Source organism: Homo sapiens, chromosome 16 (genome assembly GCF_000001405.40).
Source record: "Homo sapiens chromosome 16, GRCh38.p14 Primary Assembly".
NCBI classification, from domain to species: domain Eukaryota; kingdom Metazoa; phylum Chordata; class Mammalia; order Primates; family Hominidae; genus Homo; species Homo sapiens.
Window position 1 is genome coordinate 84,624,476 of NC_000016.10, and position 18,170 is coordinate 84,642,645.

General features: G+C 48.3%; 1 annotated feature.

The window, feature by feature from the left end:
* Nucleotides 16,458-17,016: an enhancer, noted in NCBI's record as "H3K27ac-H3K4me1 hESC enhancer chr16:84674539-84675097 (GRCh37/hg19 assembly coordinates)". NCBI's record gives its function as "activates a minimal SCP1, AML or CMV promoter by ChIP-STARR-seq in primed H9 embryonic stem cells {active_cell/tissue: H9 hESC(primed)}" and the evidence as "EXISTENCE:reporter gene assay evidence [ECO:0000049][PMID:30033119]".

Genomic DNA, 18,170 nt, shown 5'->3' on the forward strand with positions numbered 1-18,170 from the left:
TCTTTGTCATATTAGATTAAGCAAAGATTTCTTAGCTGTGGCACAAAAAGCAGGAGTGATTAAAAAAAACTGGATAAATTGGACTTCATCAAAACTAAATTGTTTTCCTTTTTTCTTTTCTTTTTCTTTTTTTTGAGATGGAGTTTTTTGTTCTTGTCACCCAGGCTAGAGTGCAATGGCTTGCTCTCGGCTCACTGCAACTTCTGCCTCCCAGGTTCAAGAGATTCTCCCACCTCAGCCTCCCGAGTAGCTGGGATTACAGGCGCCTGCCACCACGCCCAGCTAAGTTTTTGTATTTTTAGTAGAGACGGGGTTTCACCATGTTGGTCAGGCTGGTCTTGAACTCCTGACCTCAGGTGATCCACCCACCTCGGCCTCCCAAAGTCCTGGGATTACAGACATGAGCCACTGCACCCAGCCAAAACAAAAACTTTTTGTGATTCAAAGGGCACCATTAAGAAAGTGAAAAGACAATACACAGAAAAGAAGAAAGTACGGGCAAAATCATATCTGATAAGGGCCTAGTATCCAGAATATTAAAAACAAAAACCTTTTACAACTCAACAATAAAAAGGCAAATAGCCCAATTTAAAAATACACAAAGAATTTGAAGAAAGATTTCTCCAAGGAAGTTTTACAAATGGCCACTAAGCATATGGAAAGATGTTCAGTGTCATTGGTCATTAGGGAAATGCAAATCAAAAGCACAAGGAGGCCGAGAGCAGTGGCTCACGCCTGTAATCCCAGCACTTTGGGAGGCCGAGGCCGGTGGATCACTTGAGGTCAGGAGTTCCAGACCAGCATGACCAACATAGAGAAACCTCGTCTCTACTAAAATAAAAAAAATTAGCCAGGTGTGGTGGTGGGTGCCTGAAATCCCAGCTACTTGGGAGGCTGAGGCAAGAGAATCACTGGAACCCAGAAGGCAGACGTTGCAGTGAGCCACTGCACTCCAGCCTGGGCAGCAGAGCAAGACTCCATCTCAAAAAAAAAGCACAAGAGATACCACTTCACACCAGAAGACAGACAGACAATAACCAGTATTGGTGAGGATGTGAAGACGCTGGAACTCTCACACAGTGCTTTTGGAAATGGAAAATGGTGCAACTGCTTTGGAAAACAATTTGCCAGTTTCTCAAAATGTGAAACATAGAGTTATTATGTGGCCCAAGAATTCCACTCCCAGGAATATACCCAAGAGACAGGAAAACATATGTCCGCATGAAAACTTGTATGTGCATGTTCATAGCAGCATTATTCATAATGGCCAGAAAGTGGAAACCTAAATATCTGTCAGCTGATGAATGGATAGACAAAAGTGGTTTATCTGTATAATAGGATATTATTCAGCCATACGAAGGAGTTAAGTATTGATTCATTCTACGACATGTACGAACCTCAAAAACATTATGCTAAGTCAAAGAAGCCAGTCACGAAAGACCACACATCGTATGATTCCATTTATATGTAAAGTCCAGAATAAGCAAATCTATGGAGACAGAATGCCGATTGGTGGCTGCAGGGTCGGGGGAGGAAGAATGGGGAGTGGCTGCTAGTGAGTGTGGGGTTTCCTTCAGGGGTTGAAGAAAATGTTTTCAAATTCAATAGTGATGATGGCTGCACAACTTTGTGAATTTGGTTGCACTAAAAATCACTGAATTGTACACTTAAAAGTCATATATATATATGCATACATACATACATATATATATATATATTTGAGAGAGAGTGCAGTGGCGTGATCTCAGCTCACTACAGTCTCCGATCCTGGGCTCAAGCGATTCTACTGCCTTCCAAGAAGTTGGGATTACAGGTGTGCAACACCATACCCAGTTAATTTTTGTATTTTTATTATTTATGTTTTATTATTTATTTATTTATTGAGACAGAGTCTCACTCTGTCGCCCAGCTGGAGTACAGTGGCGCCATCTTGGCTCACTGAAACCTCCACCTCCCTGGTTCAAGCGATTCTCCCGCCTCACCTTCCCTAGTGGCTGGGATTACAGGTGCACACCACCAGGCCCGGCTAATTTTTGTATTTTTAGTAGAGACGGAGTTTCGCCATCTTGGCCAGGCTGGTCACGAACTCCCGACCTCTGGTGATTCGCCTGCCTTGGCCTCCCAAGGTCCTGGGATTATAGGTGTAAGCCACCAGGCCCAGCCAATTTTTGTGTTTTTAGTAGAAACTGGGTTTTGCCATGTTGGCCAGGCTAGTCTCAAACTCCTGACCTCAAGTGATCCACCCGCCTCAGCCTCCCAAAATGTTGGGATTACAGGGGTGAGCCACCACGCCTGGCCAAAGTCTTATATATTTTTTAAGCTCAGCAAAATACTAGTCCCAAAATTATATTTTTGAACTAAAAAAAGAGAATCACAGAAAGCTCCCAGGTTTTGGGCTGAGCATCCAGGTGGGAGGTTGATGGGGTGGCAGTGCTGCATCATGCTTGGGGTCACTGCATTTGAGCTGCTGGTAGGACATGACAGTGGAGACGTCCAGCAGCCAGACGGGTCTGAGACTCAGGACAGAGCCTGGCTTGGAGATATGGTTCTGGGAGCCACAGGGCTCTCGGTGGTGATTAGGCCACGAGGGTGTGTGAGTTGGCCCATGGAGGATGCTTAGGTGGAAGAAGAAGGTCTGGGGCAGAGCTTCAGGGAACACCAGCATTTATGGGGAAAGGAGCCTGCAAAGAAGACAGGATTGTCCAGAGGGGGAGGAAGACTTTTTTTCCTTTTTTTTTTTGAAACAGATTCTCACTCTGTCACCCAGGTGCAGTGGCTCACACTTGTAATCCCAGCACTTTGGGAGGCTGAGGCGGGTGGATCACTTGAAGTCGGGAGTTCGAGAACAGCCTGACCAACATGATAAAACCCTGTCTCTACTAAAAATACAAAAATTAGCCAGGTGTGGTGGCACACATCTGTAATCTCAGCTACTTGGGAGGCTGAGGCGGGAGAATCGCTCGAACCCAGGAGGCAGAGGTTGCAGTGAGCCAAGATCGCGCCATTGCACTCCAGCCTGGGCAACAAAAGCAAACCTCCATCCAAAAAAAAAATTATATAATTATAACATATATTAGTAATAGTAACCATATTCCATATCATATATGTTATATAGTAACCACATTATGTAAAACTAATAATAGAAATGTCTTCCTGGCTGGGCACAGCAGCTCGCGCCTGTCATCCCAGCACTTTGGGAGGCCGAGGCATGCAGATTATGAGGTCAGGAGTTCGAGACCAGTCTGGCCAACATAGTGAAACCCCATCTCTACTAAAAATAAAAACAGCCAGATGCAGTGGTGTGCGCCTGTAATCCCAGCTACTCAGGAGGCCGAGGCAGGAGAATCACGTGAACCCGGGAGGTGGAGGTTGTAGTGAGCTGAGATCGCACCATTGCACTCCAGCCCCAGGCAACAGTGCGTGCGAGACTCTGTCTCAAAAAAAAAAAAAAAAAAGAAACGTCTTCCTCTATATTGTGCGCTATGTGCCAGGCTGCATGCTACGTGCCTGATGGCTATGTTCCCAGTGAATTCTCACATCGACCCGAGGAGATGCTGCAACTGTTCCCCCAACACAGATGAAGGAACCCAGGCCTCAAGACAGGAAGGCACCTCCGCATGTCTGAACATTTTTGAACCCAGGGTCTTGGCCTCTACACCAAGAAGTAGCGTTTGGGGACCTTGACATTGAACCAGGGTGGCTCACTACATGTGCCCTGAAGCAACTGAAAAATCTGTGCCGGCTTTTTAAGAACCTGGTTTTTGCATGGACTTTATTTCTTTCATTGCAAAAACCTCACAGACTCTTTAAGGTCAGCGTCCTGGTTTCCACTTTTTCTTTCGGGCTACCAATTAAAAAAAAAAAAAAAAAAAAAAAACAACACCTGAGCTGTAATTGGAGCCTGGGAATAAAACATAACCCTGAAACTTGCTTTTCTCAGCAAGGTAGTTGTCATTCTGAAGCAGGTGTCTTACACGAAATGGCTATTTATAGAAAATGATATTTATGCAATCTGTGCTGATCTCACTGACTGTCAAATCTCTGAAAAGGGGCTCGCAGGAACAGTGGAAGATGCAGATGTGGAGCCCCTGAATGAGGGAGTGTCAAACGGCACTCTTGAGTGCTCCTCCCCAGGCACCACGACCTGGGGCTTCAGCCTCCAGTGAGGAAGGGCAGGGAGGGGTCACAGGTAGCCCAGGTCGCTTAGCCAGGAAGTGTGCTCCAATGGTTAGGGGCTAGGGCAGCTGCTCACCCAAACCCTGGCTCTGCCATACCCCTGAGCTCCAGTTTTCTCTTCTGTGAATGGAGCATCTCTCATGGAGGGTTTTTATTTTTTGAGGATCACAGTAAAAAATTCATGTAAACATATGTAATGATAGCAGGTGTTTTAAGCGCTAGCTTCCCAAACCAGTATATCTGTATGCAACTTCCCAAACCTGTATATCTGTATTCAACTACATTACCGAAAGTAGCACGCCATGCTAGACTTCACCCTGGAAAACAGAAACTATCAACTATATAAAAGTAGGAGGCCGGGCGCGGTGGCTCACGCCTGTAATGCCAACACTCTGGGAGGCCGAGGCAGGCAGATCACTTGAGGTCAGGAGTTCAAGACCAGCCTGTTCAACATGGTGAAACCCCCATCTCTACTAAAAATACAAAAATTAGCCAGGCATGATGGCAAGCACCTGTAATTCCAGCTACTCGGGAGGCTGATGCAGGATAATCATTTGAACCTGGGAGGCGGAGGTTGCAGTGAGCCTAGATTGCACCACTGCACTCCAGCCTGGGCAATAGAGCAAGAGTCTATCTCAAAAAACAAACAAACAAAACTAGGAAAAAATGAATGCAAGGTATTGGCATTGGCTACATCAGGGACAAGCAAGCTGAAAAGCTGAGCAGGTTGGTGAAGCCCCCCAAGACTGGCCACAGCACAGAGATTAGCAAATGACCCTCAGCCAGAAGAACAGGGGAAGGAGGGGGGACCCTGGAGACCAGGACCTAGCGTCACCCAGGGATTGCTGGAGTGCAGAGCTGTGGCTGCTGGAGATTTGCTCCAGAGAGAGGTTGAAATACCCCCGCCTTTTCTTCCTTCCTGCCCTCCAGCCGGGAGCCACTGACCAGGGACTTAGGAACACAGCCTGAAAGGGTGACACCTCCCCACCCCTCCACCTCCCCACCGCAGACCCCAGCATCACAGCAATTCCCAGCAGAGCAGGCTGGGCAAGGGGGAGGAGCAGGTCTAACAAGCCCTATAGCGGGACTCACACCCCAAACAAGGGTGCTGTACCGTAAGCTGCTGAACCACACTTTGCGGCAAGAGAGAGCTCCTCAGAAACGGGAGACGGTTCTCAGGTCTCAGGGCCTCAGGAAGCCTCTCTTCTGCACGATAAACCCACACCCATAGCTTCTCCTCCCCTCCTAAGCCCGCTCTGTGTCAGCTAAGTCCCCGCTTAAGCACATCAGAACACAATTCCCAAAGTGTGGTCCATGAGACCTGAGAACCGTCTCCCCATTCCTGAGGCGCTCTCTCTTGCCGCAGATGGTCATCTTCCTGCATGAACCTCTGGAGAGCAGAACAAAACCAGTTACAGAGAGACAGTGTTGGGGTCAACATAAAGAAGGTCTTTCCAATTGAGACCAAATACACTCCTCTGTGAGGTAGTGAGTTCCCGGTGAGAGCAAAGGGCTCTGAGAATTTTATTTATGTATTTATTTATTTATTTATTTATTTATTTATTTATTTTTACTTCTAATAGTACTTTGCTTTTTTTTTCTTTTTTTTTTTTTGAGACTGCGTCTCACTCTGTCACCCAGGCTGGAGTGCAATGGTGTGATCTGGGCTCACTGCAACCTCCACGTCCTGGGTTCAAGGGATTCTCCTACCTTAGTCTCCCAAGTAGCTGGGACTACAGACATGTGCCACCACGCCCGGCTAATTTTTGTATTTTTAGTAGAGACAGGTTTCACCGTGTTGGCCAGGCTGGTCTGAAACTCCTGACCTGAAGTGATCCGCCCACCTTGGCCTCCTAAAGTGCTGCGATTACAGGATGAGCCACTGCGCCCAGCCTCTAATAGTACTTTGGAAAGAATTTTTTTTTAAAACAGGGTCTCACTGTGTTGCCCAGGCTGGAGTGCAGTGGCGTCATCATGGCTCATGGCAGCCTCGAACTCCCAGGCTCAGGTGATCTTCCCACCTCGGCCTTCCAGGCGTGCACCACCACACCCAGCTAATTGTTTGTATTCTTTGTAGGGACGAGGTTTCACCATGTTGCCCAGGCTGGCCTCGAACTCCCAGGCTCGAGCAATTCACCCACCTTGGCCTCCCGGAATGCTGGGATTACAGGTGTGAGCCACGGCACCCAGCCAGGAGTCAATTCTTGACTTAGTGGCTGTGGCCATTCTGAACTGGTTTCTCCTTTTGCTGGATCAAAGAAGTTACGGTGACACAAAGGATCTTGTATCATTCATTGAGTTTTTACACTTGCTTTGTAAAAACTCTCTGTTCTATTTCCCACTACCAGGCTGTAAGTTTCCCGCAGACAGACTTGTTTATCTGTGTGACTTTAGGCAAAAAAAAAAAAAAAAAAAAAAAGCAAGAGAGAAAGAAAATCTGAGGTTTTGGTTTTACCAAAACCACACAAATGTACCGCAGAAGTCCTTTAAACAGTAATTTTTCCCAGAACAATAAAAATATAATTTTAGGTTCATACGTGTTTGTTTCTGAAACACTTACTACATGCTGAAGGAGAAAGTATTACACTGGGGAGGCCCACAGAGAGGAAGAAATTAATGTGAGCAACGTGCAAATAAAAGGCCACAATTATCTGCAGCATTTGCTAAAGTGAGCGAGCATGCCTTTGGCTCTAAAGTAAGCCTGCCCTTGACTGTAAGCCTATAACAGCGGCATGCAGTAGGTAAAGAAGTATTGTTTAAGTTAATTAACACAGAATACCCCATTTAATTCAGTAAATATAATAAATTAATGATCTTTAGTTCCATATTTGGGCATAGGTAGAGAAAATAGCAGAGAAAAGAGAGAAAGAAATTGAAAGAATAGGAGCAAAGACAAGACAGACCTTCAGAAAGATGTGGGGCCAGGTACAGTGGCTCACACCTGTAATCCCAGCCCTATGGAAGGCCAAGAAAGGCAGACCGCTTGAACTCAGGAGCTCGAGACCATCCTGGTCAACATGGTGAAATCCCGTCTCTACAAAAAATACAAAAATTAGCCAGGTGTGATGGTGTCCGCCTGTAGTCCCAGCTACTTAGGGGTCTGAGGTGGGAGGATTGCTTGAACCCCAGAGGTGGAGGTTGCAGTGAGCCGAGATTGCACCACTGCACTCCAGTCTGGGTGACAAAGTGAGACCCTGTCTCAAAACAAAACAAAACAAAACAGAAAGATGTGGAAGCCTTCTTGTCCTGTGAAATCAGGACTTTGGTCAGTCAGCTAATTGTGAATCTAAAAAGTCAGTTAAGTCAGGGAGACACCTTAAATTCATTTATATCGTATATCTTTTTCTTGCCCTAGTATTTATGAGTGTGTCCTTTCTTTGAGAGCGGCCTGGCTGAAATAGGCGTTGTGTCTCTCTTCTCCCATAGACCACAACCGTAACCCTTCTGCTACAATTTCCCACTTCCTATTCTTTACACAAAGACACTTTCAAAATCATATATGTGCAGAATCATTCCAGGGTTCACAATTCCCTCCACCCAGCCTTCCCCAGTTTCTGCAATTAATTCGGTATCAGTTGTCTTAGTTACATCTTGAAGTCATCCAAAGTTTCATCTGAGTTTTATAGCGATTATATTCCTTCTGTTTATCCTCATGTTCCCACAACTTAAGTCACATTTAATTAAATCAATTAATGACCATAATCAACACAACTGCCACGAACAGTTTTGGGAGCAAACGCGGCTAGTTCTAGATAAGCACAGAGCCCGGGTGGTTAGGGAAGATGCTCAGGAGGAGGCTTCAGCACACTGTGTGCAGCTGCTGGCATGTTTCACAGGAGAAATGGGACAAGTCTGTTAATCTAGTGAGTGAGTTCAGCAGAAGTTGGTTAAGACAGCGTGTTAAATAAAGGCTTAATAATTAAAATTTGATTAGACATTAGAAGTTAGAGGTGTCTTTCATGCATTGGCTAATTTCATTCAATCATCCATTCATTCTTTTTGCTTGTTTTTGTTTTTGACACACAGTCTCATTGTCACCCAGGCTAGAGTGCAGTGGTGCAATCACGGCTCACAGCAGCCTCGACCTCCCAGGCTCAAGTGATCCTCCCACCTCAGCCTCCGAAGTCTCTAGGACAACAGGTACATGCCACTATGCCCAGCTAATTTTCGTATTTTTGTAGAGACAAGATCACCCTGTATTGCCTAGGCTGGTCTCGAATTCCTGGGCTCAAGTGATCCTCCTGCCTCAGCCTCCCAAACTGCTGAGATTACAGGCCTGCACCACTGCGCCTGGCCCATCTATTCATTTTTTTCATTCAACAAATATCCCCTTGGGGACCTCACAACACTAGACACAGTGCTTGCTGCAGGCTGATTGGCAGGGTCAGTATTGCTGTGCCCATTTTATTGGTGGTAAGACTAAGGCTCGGCCATTTGTTCATTGTCACACACATGGTAAGTAAAAGCAGGCTGGGTGCGGTGGCTCATGCCTATAATCCCAGCACTTTGGGAGGCTGAGGCGGGTGGATCACCTGAGGTCAGGAGTTCAAGACTAGCCCGGCCAACATGCTGAAACCTCGTCTATACTAAAAATACAAAAATTAGCCAGGCATGATGGTGCATGCCAGTGATCCCAGCTACTTGGGAGGCTGAACCAGGAGAATCACTCGAACTCAGGAGGCGGAGGTTGCAGTGAGCTGAGATTGTGCCATTCCACTCCAAACTGGGTGACAGAGCAAGACTCCATCTCAAAAATAAATAAATAAATAAATAAAGTAAGAAAAATAGTAAGTAAAAGTGCCAGCCCCTGAAGCCAGGACTCCTGATTGTAGATCCTGATACGCTCTCTATGAAATGTTGTGGGTTCAGATTGACCTTCCCTTTAGAACAGAAGTTCAGGCTCTCCAAGTTGACACCTAGAAAACAGGCCATCCTGGCAGCCGTTCCGGAGAATGACAGATAAATGGATTGAAAGTCAAAGTGTCCAGTGTAGAGAGTCAGGATGCTGAAACCAAGCAGAAGGCATATCGGGTGGAATTCTGAAGGGACTGTAAACAAGGGACTGTTTAGAGAACTGGGTTAGAAGAGCCAACAAGAGCAATTGAGACACCCAGGGGAGCAAGAATGGGCGCTGTTCCCACGCTAGGCAGGACAGATCAGGAGGAAAGCCTGTGCCTGGAGCCTGCGGAGCTGGAGTCGCGGGGGAGGGATTGTCTGGACCAAAGTCAAGTTCCTCAGAGCCTGCCTCTCCACTCGGCCTTGACCTTGGACCCATCCAGTCTTTGGTCTGCTGAGTCCCGTTTTAGTAAAGAATCCTGCTAAGTCAGTTCAGGGACGATGCCCCAACCCTTGATATCTGATCACATCCCCCATCCTCCCCACCCTTGCTGTTTAAGTTCTTGGTCTGTCTGTAGCAAGAATCCTGTGAAGTCGGTTTAGCAGGACTCCCCTCGCCCCAATGTCTTCCCTTAGTGACTTCTCATCCACTCACCCCTCACTCTGCTCACCAGCTACCAATCTCCGCTGTCTTTGCTACATTTGTTTTTGAGCTCAGTCTCTCTCCCCCATTGCAATAGTTTTGAATAAAGCATCAGAATAATTTGTCTGTTAGAAGATCGCCCAGCAGGAGCAGTGGTCATGGAAGGATGTGGCCACGGGCTGACCTCAGCCCGAAGCAGGGAGTGTGCTGGGGAGAAATGCCCCAACCTCTCTCCTGCCGGCCTCCAGTCTCCTTCCGGTGCCTCCCAGTGGCTGAACCCAACCAGAAGTCATAGGAGGAGCAGCCCAGGTGATGCCATCCTTCAAAGTCAGACAAGGTCAGAGAAAGTGGAAAATGGGGAGTGAACAGGGAATACTAGCCCACACCGCTTGCCAAAGAGTGGTGTAAGCTGCTTAATAAATAGAGTCAGGTTTCTTTCTTTTTTTTTTTTTTTTCCCAGGCTGGAGTGCAGCGGCGCGATCTCGGCTCACTGCAACCTCCGCCTCCCGGGTTCAAGCAATTCTCCTGTCTCAGCCTCCTGAGTAGCTGGGATTACAGGCGCCCGCCACCATGCCTGACTAATTTTTTGTATTTTTAGTAGAGACAGAGTTTCACCATTTTGACCAGGCTGGTCTCGAACTCCTGACAGGTGATCTGCCTGCCTCGGCCTCCCAGAGTGCTAGGATTACAGGCGTGAACCGCCGTGCCCGGCCTCTTTTTTTTTTCTTAAAATGTGAAGAATTCTCTGAGACTGACCCAAGAGACATGGCAGGGGCAGGAGGAGGACATGCCAGCCAGGGCAGTACCACTATTGGTGCCAGTACTCTCAGCCGGTCAGCGGCAGTGGGCAGGGTCAGGGAACTAATTCACAAATCTAGGAATGTTCTTAATGGTGACACCTAGACAAGAGAAGAGACTGAAGGTCAAGAAGGCACACGAGGGGATGGCAGAGATGACCCTACAGTTCCCAACCTGATTCAAGGCAGTCCCAGTAGGCATGGGACTGTGATCGTCAATCTGTTAGATGAGACACAGTGTCCTGGCGAAACACACATCCTTCGCATCTTCCTCCTGTCGCCGCACAGCTAGCGGCTCTGAGCAGGCCTCGATATTTTGTGCAAGGGCAAAATGGCAGGGACCACCAGCCAGGGCCACCGAACTCTTGTTTTCTGCCCCAGGACTTCCCAGACCCCATGGCGTGCAACTGTGAAGAGCTCTCCAGGGACTTATACATGCACAACCAGAGGATGACAGGGCTGGGCCCTTGACCAATGGGAGTGTGAAAGCCGTTAATCAAATGTGTCCCCCTTTCTTCGGGAGGCCAAGGCGGGCGGATCACTTGAGGTCAGCAGTTCTAGACCAGCCTAGCCAACATGGTGAAATCCTGTCACTACTAAAAATACAAAAATTAGCCAGGCATGGTGGCGGGTGCCTGTAGTCCCAGCTACTCGGGAGGCTGAGGCTGGAGAATCGCTCGAACCTGGGAGGCGCAGGTTGCAGTGAGCAGAGATCGTGCCACTGCCCTCCAGCCTGGGTGACAGAGTGAGACTGCATCTCAAAAACAAAACAAAGCAAACGAATAAAAAACACGAATATGTCCCCCTTTCCTCTCCTGGTTGGACAGTTCTGAGATGCATTTCACTCCCCAGGAGCTCCCACAGGATTGACCACTCGGTCACCCGAACACTGGATGGCATGACAGTGCATCCCAGACTGGATTCCCCAGTACCCTGTTCCACACCCACATCCCGCATTCCAAGTTACACGTGTTATGTAACTTGGAAAAGAAAAATACAAAGCATGCCAGTTTCCTTCCGGGAATCAACAGCATGGAAATGGCGTGGACTGGCCTCAAGTACACAGATCCATAACTCAGGGCTCTCAGCAGACAAATATGTCTTAATCCCTGAAATACTGCCACTTCTGAGTTTGGGGGATTAAAATATCATTAGATCCTCCATTTGTCAGGACGCACTTGTCACAATTGAGAGAAACAGAAGCTACGTCAGCTTAAGCCAACAGTTTTGGGGAGCAGGGGGAAGATGGGGGATTTACTGGCACAGGTAAACACCCCATAGAAAGGAGAGGTACAGAGAGACCTGGGGACTTGAGCAACATCATCTTCACCCTCTCTCTCCCTCTGTCTTGTTCATCTCTCAGTCCTGTTTCTCTGTGTTGGTCACATTTTTCTTTTCTTTTTTTTTTTTTTTCTTGAAACCGAGTCTCACTCTGTTGCCCAGGCTAGAGTGCAGTGGCACAATCTTGGCTCACTGTAACCCCCGCCTCCCAGGTTCAAGCGATTCTCCTGCCTCAGCCTCCCGTGTAGGTGGGATTACAGGCATGCACCACCACGCCCGGCTAATTTTTGTATTTTTAGTATAGATGGGGTTTCACCATATTGGCCAAGCTGGTCTTGAACTCCTAACCTCAGGTGATCCACCTGCCTCAGCCTCCCAAAGTCCTGGAATTACAGGCATGAGCCACTGCGCCCGGCCTCATATTCACTTTTTTTTTTTTTTTTTTTTTTTTGAGACGGAGACTCGCTCTGTCGCCCAGGCTGGAGTGCAGCAGCGCGATCTCGGCTCACTGCCAGCTCCGTCTCCCGGGTTCACGCCATTCTCCTGCCTCAGCCTCCCGAGTAGCTGGGACTACAGGCGCCGGCAACCACGCCTGGCTAATTTTTTTGTATTTTTAATAGAGACGGGGTTTCACCGTGTTAGCCAGGATGGTCTCCATCTCCTGACCTCGTAATCTGCCCGCCTCAGCCTCCCAAAGTGCTGGGATTACAGGCGTGAGCCACCGTGCCCGGCCACATTCACTTCTACTACAGATGACCTACAGTTCTCTTCCATGCAGAGAACTTTGAGCTTACCTCACTCCCAGTCAGTGACAGATGGAAAGAAGAGGTCTGTCTCCCAACAACTATATACAAATCCTAGGGAAGGATTCTGATTGGCCCTGCTGGGACTACATGTCCATTCTTTGGGCCAATCACTGTAGCCAAGGAATAGGCGCCTATGATTGGCTGGACCTGGCCATGTGCCCATGGGGGTGTGTTATGAGGGGTTCTCAGATGGACAGCTTCAACAGAGATTAGCAGCTGCAACAGAAACTTCTGGAAAGGCATTGAGGAGAAAGAGCTCCCTAAAGGGAGGTGCAGCTGTTGATCCATACCCCTTAGGCTTTAATCTTTGGCTGCCAGTATCTGCGACTCTGGGCCTGAGGGCTTTTCCCCAAAATCACGGAAGATCGCTCTCCCAATTATCCAGCAGGTTGCAAGTGGGGGCTAATTAATACCTGTGAGCAGCTGTCAGCCAATACTGCCAGGATGGATGTGTGAGTACCCCGACGCCCCCCTGGGTGGGATGGCTCTTCTCTATGGTATGAGGCCCCTGTTACCCTCATCAGTGACACGCTTTATCATGCCTTTAGGATCCATTCTCTCCCCTGTCTCACTTCCCCTCCCAATCAGTGCTTCCGGCACTTTCCAAATTAACTACTCAAACTTGAGGCCCAACTTCAGGGGCGGCTTTAGGGGGAGCCTAGACTAAGGAAAACTGGATTGGTGGGAGCAGGGGTCACCGCTCTGCGGGAAGGAAGACAGAACCAGTCACTGTCAGCCCCAGCCCCGCCTACTCATTCAGTCACTCATTTGTGGCATCCTAAGTCAGCTTTCTCTTCCTTTCCTTTTCTTTTCTTCTCTTCTTTCCTCTCCTCTCCTCTCCTCTCTTCTCTTCTTTTCTTTTCCCTTTCTTTTCCCCTCCTCTCTTCTCCTCTCCTCTCCTCTTTTCTTTTTTTCTGAGACAGATTCTCACTCTGTGGCCCAAGCTATAGTGCAGTGATGCAGCCACTGCTCACTGCAGCCTTGACCTCAAGTGATCCTCCCACCTCAGCCTCCTGAGTAGCTGGGACTGCAGGCACATGCCACCTCGCCTGGCTAATTTTTATATTTTTTGTAGAGATGGGGTTTCACCATGTTGCCCAGGCTGGTCTCCAACTCCTAGGCCAAAGCGATCCATCTGCCAGGGCTTCCCAAAGCGCTGGGCTTGCAGGCATGAGCCACCGTGTCCTGCCAGGCCAGGTTTCTAAGAAGCGGGACCTGAGATATGGATTCCTGTGCAGTGGTTTATTGAGGAGGGGCTCTCAGGAGACATGTATAGGGAGAAGAGGGAAATAGGGCATGACAAGGCAGGGAGAAAGCCTGGCACAGACGCGTCGCTGCAGGATCCTGGCCTCAGCCTGATCCCCAGGGAGCTGTGGAGCATGGCTAGGGCCACACGCTTGACCTCTCTACCTTGAGGCAAGGGAGCCAGACCTTTATACCCTGCTGATGGCCAGTCACGGCTGCACGCTGCCCTCGGCAACCAGGGAGCGAGGCTGGAAGCTTTCAGGCACTTTCAGTATTCTCCTACCCAAGGGGCTGGAAAGTCCCAGCAGGCAGGAGATGGGTGCAGGGGTCCAGAACTAGGGATGTGGGTGAGGCCTGGACAGCATCCTCTGCTTGTGGCTTGCAAGTGATAAGAAAAAGGAGCCTCTCAGCTGCTGAGATTTTTAAGCAGACAACAAATGTATATTGAATGTGACAAAGAGTTAGAATATGTGAGTTTCATCTTTACAAAGTTTACAATCTACTTGTGGAGTTTAAAATACAGCTACTGGCTGGTTGTAGTGGCTCATATCTGTAATCCCAGCACTTTGGGAGGCTGAGGCAGGAGGATCACTTGAGCCCAGGAGTTTGAGACCAACCTGGGCAACATGGCGAGACCTCTTCTCTGCAAGAAATTAAAAAATTAGGGGACGTTGGGCGGAGGGAGAGAGCAGAAAAGATAACTATTGGGTACTGGGCTTAATACCTGGGTGATGAAATATGTATAACAAACCCCTGTGACATGTGTTTGCCTGTGTAACAAACCTTCACATGTACCCCCAAACCTAAAATAACAATTTAAAAAATAAAATTAAAGTTAAAATTAAAAATTAGCCAGGTGTGGTGGTGTGCACTTGTAGTCCCAGCTACTCGGGAGGCTGAGGTGGGAGGATCACTTAAGCCAGGGAGGTCGAGACTGTAGTGAGCTCTGATCATACCATTGCACTCCAGCCTGGGGGACAGAGAGCAACTCTGTCTCAAAAAAAAATAAAAATAAAAATTGATATGGTTTAGCTGTGTCCCCACCCAAATCCCATCTTGAATCATAGCTCGCATAATTCTCACACGTTGTGGGAGGGACCTGGTGGGAGATAATTGAATCATGGGGGCAGTTTCCCCCATACTGTTCTCATGGTAGTGAATAAATCTCACAAGATCTGATGGTTTTTATAAGGGGAAACCCCTTTCGCTTGACTCTCATTCTCTCTTTACCTGCCACCATGTAAGATGTGCCTTTGCTCCTCCTTGCCTTCCACTGTGATCGTGAGGCCTCCCCAGCCACAGGGAAGTGTGAGTCTATTAAACCTCATTTTCTTTATTAATTACCCAATCTCAGATATGTCTTTATCAGCAGCATGATAACAGACTAATACAAAAATACAATAAAATATAGCTACTTTAATCACCCCATCCAGACACCCAACTCAGTGCTGAGTGGTTTCTGCTCTCATGGAATCCAAGGTCTGCTGCTTCCGCCCCATTTCCCACCATTCCCTGCAAGCATATTGTGGTCCAGACAGTCTGGGCTCTTCATGGGCTCAGAATGTTGCTTCGTTCTTCCAGGCCTTTGCACATGCTCTTCCCTTCACCTGGATCCCTTCTCTCCCTCATCTGCAGGGTGATCCCCCACTTACACTTTCAAATACCATTCCAACAACTCTCCTCAATGTTTATACATCATGAGTAAATTCACCTTATCCCAGGGATTCCAGGAAAGTGTAGGGTTTCTTTTTAAAGTTAGTAGAATTTACCATCCCCAGAGCAAAACAGAAAAGTCTCCAGGAGGCAGAGATGTGTGTGTGACTGACAGCAGCAGCAAGCCTGTATCAGTCACTTGTTTATGGCACCTCAGTCACCGTGCTGAGATCTATGTCATAACTTGCTAAATCCTCCCTGCAACACTTGAGGTAGGCCCTATTGTAACCCTTACCTCACAGAGGAGGAAAGGGAGGCACAGAGAGGCTTTGTAACTTGCCCAAGCTCACACAGCTGGCAAGCGGCAGAAGCAAGGGTCGATCTCAGACCATCTTTACACCAGCATGCTGTACTGAATGAATGACTGAATTAATGCAACCAGCAACACCAAAATGATGCAAGATCTAGAGAGAAGAGAGCCCTACTGAGCCAGTTCCTGCAGCGTGAGAGAAGGTCCTGGATGGCCAGTTAAAGGGTCTGGCTACAGATGGCAGAGATGGCAGTCGAGGATGGGCACCTGCTGTGTGAAGCAGGCTCCCAGGGCCCTGCAGTCCTCCTTCGCTTGGGTTCCCATGGCCAAAGGCCAGCCTCTGCCTTCCTATATCTCACGATACTGCAATTGCATGTTCATGCGCCTGCCTCTCCCACTTCAGACGCAGGGCCAGGGTTCCACTCAGCCCTTTCAGCCAGGACTGTTTGCCTCGCCTAGAAACAACCCATTTTTCTTTCTTTCTTTCTTTTGAGATGGAGTTTCGCTCTTGTCACCCAGGCTGGAGTGCAATGGCGCAATCTCAGCTCACTGTAACCGCCACCTCCAGGGCTCAAGCGATTCTCCTGCCTCAGCCTCCCAAGTAGTTGGGATTATAGGCACCCACCACCATGCCCAGCTAATTTTTGTATTTTTAATAGAGACGGGGTTTCACCGTGTTGGCCAGACTGGTCTCCAACTCCTGACCTCAGGCGATCTGCCTGCCGCGGCCTCCCAAAGTGTGGGATTACAGGTGTGAGACATCACGCTAGGCCCCATTTTTCTTTTGCCCAGGCTGGAGTGCAGTGGTACGATCTCGGCTCACTGCAACCCCTGCCTCCCGAGTAGCTGGGATTACAGGCATGCACCACCACGCCCAGCTAATTTTATTTTATTTTTATTTTTGTATTTTTAGTAGAGACAGGGTTTCACCGTGTTGGTCAGGCTGGTCTCGAACTCCTGGCCCCGTGATCTGCCCACCTTGGCCTCCCAAAGTGTTGGGATTACAGGCATGAGCCACTGTGCCTGGCCCCCATTTTTCTTAAATAAAGGAGAGAACAGGATTCAAGACTTTAGGAGCCCTGGTGAGAACACAGCCAGATCCACTCCAGAGGCAGCCGAGCAAGAAGCCACTTCCTGTCACCAGGTCAGTGTCAGAGCAGCTGCTCAGCTGACGAGGAACTGACCGTGCACTTGCTATTTCCCTAAGGAGAGGTAGGCCTGGCCTGGACTTCCAGCTTGAACTCTGCAGACAGGACCTAAGGGGTCCCAGCCTCCAGAGTTGTGTGGGACAGGCAGCTTGTCAGGGAAGGTGATGCAGGAGGTGACGTTGAAGAGGGTGACTGTGAGTTCTGAGAGGATGTGTCTGTTATTGCTGCCTGCTGCTCTGCTCCTAGAATCCCATGGGGACCTCTGAGCTTGGGGTCTGCTGTGATCAACTAACAATGGCTTCCATGGGCATGGGATGGAGAGTGAAGGCATGCATGTTAACTGTCCCCCATCCTGAGTAGCAGAGCCATGGGAGAAGGGAGCTGGGTAAATTACTAGCAATCAGCAGCGTATTAAGCACTTAGAATGTACTAGGCACCATGTTAAATGCTTTTCCTGCTCTATCTCATTTAATCCTTAAACTAACCCTAGGAGAGGAATGCTATTATTATTCCTCCTTTAGAAGGTCAGCACCATGAGGAACATAATTTTCTAATCTGCACTATTAATGCTGTGTTGTCAGCACCTAAAATAGTACCTAGCACATGGCAGACACTCAATAAGTATTTGCTGGCAAATAGATTAACTCTCATTTTGCAGATGAGGAAACTGAGGCCCAGAGTTGTACGTAACTTACTATCTCAGAGCAAAACAGAAAAGTTTCCAGGATACAGAGATGTGTGTGTGTGACTGGCAGTGGCAGCAAGTAACCAGCAAGTTGCAAGCAGCTGCGTGTGTGCCCTTCCTGCGGCAACAATGCTGGGAGGGCTTTGATCTGAGTTGCTTTGTTTTATATATGAGAGATTTGACGGGTCCAAAGGAAACGAGGCTCACACAGGGTTACCTGCTGAGCCTGGGGTCCAGCCAGGTTTGCAACCTTGAAATCCTAAGTCCCTGAGCCACTTCATTTCTATAGTTGTCAGAGAGACATGCAATCAGGTCCAGCGTGCCTTGGAGGAACAGGTTGTGGGCAATGCCAGCCTGGCTGGGGACCTCAGTGACCATTCTGTTTGAGAGTAATTCTGACCCAACAGACCCCACGACAAGAGTCAGCTCAGGCAAAACTGTGATGCACAGGAAGCCTCCTACCTGTTTCCCTCCCTCCTTCTCCATCACTCTGTCTGGGGGGCTGGTGTCTTCCTTTCATTCCAATCAAACATGATCTCTAAAAAGTGCCTGAACCTGATGAACGCTATGGTATAAATGACTACGAAAAG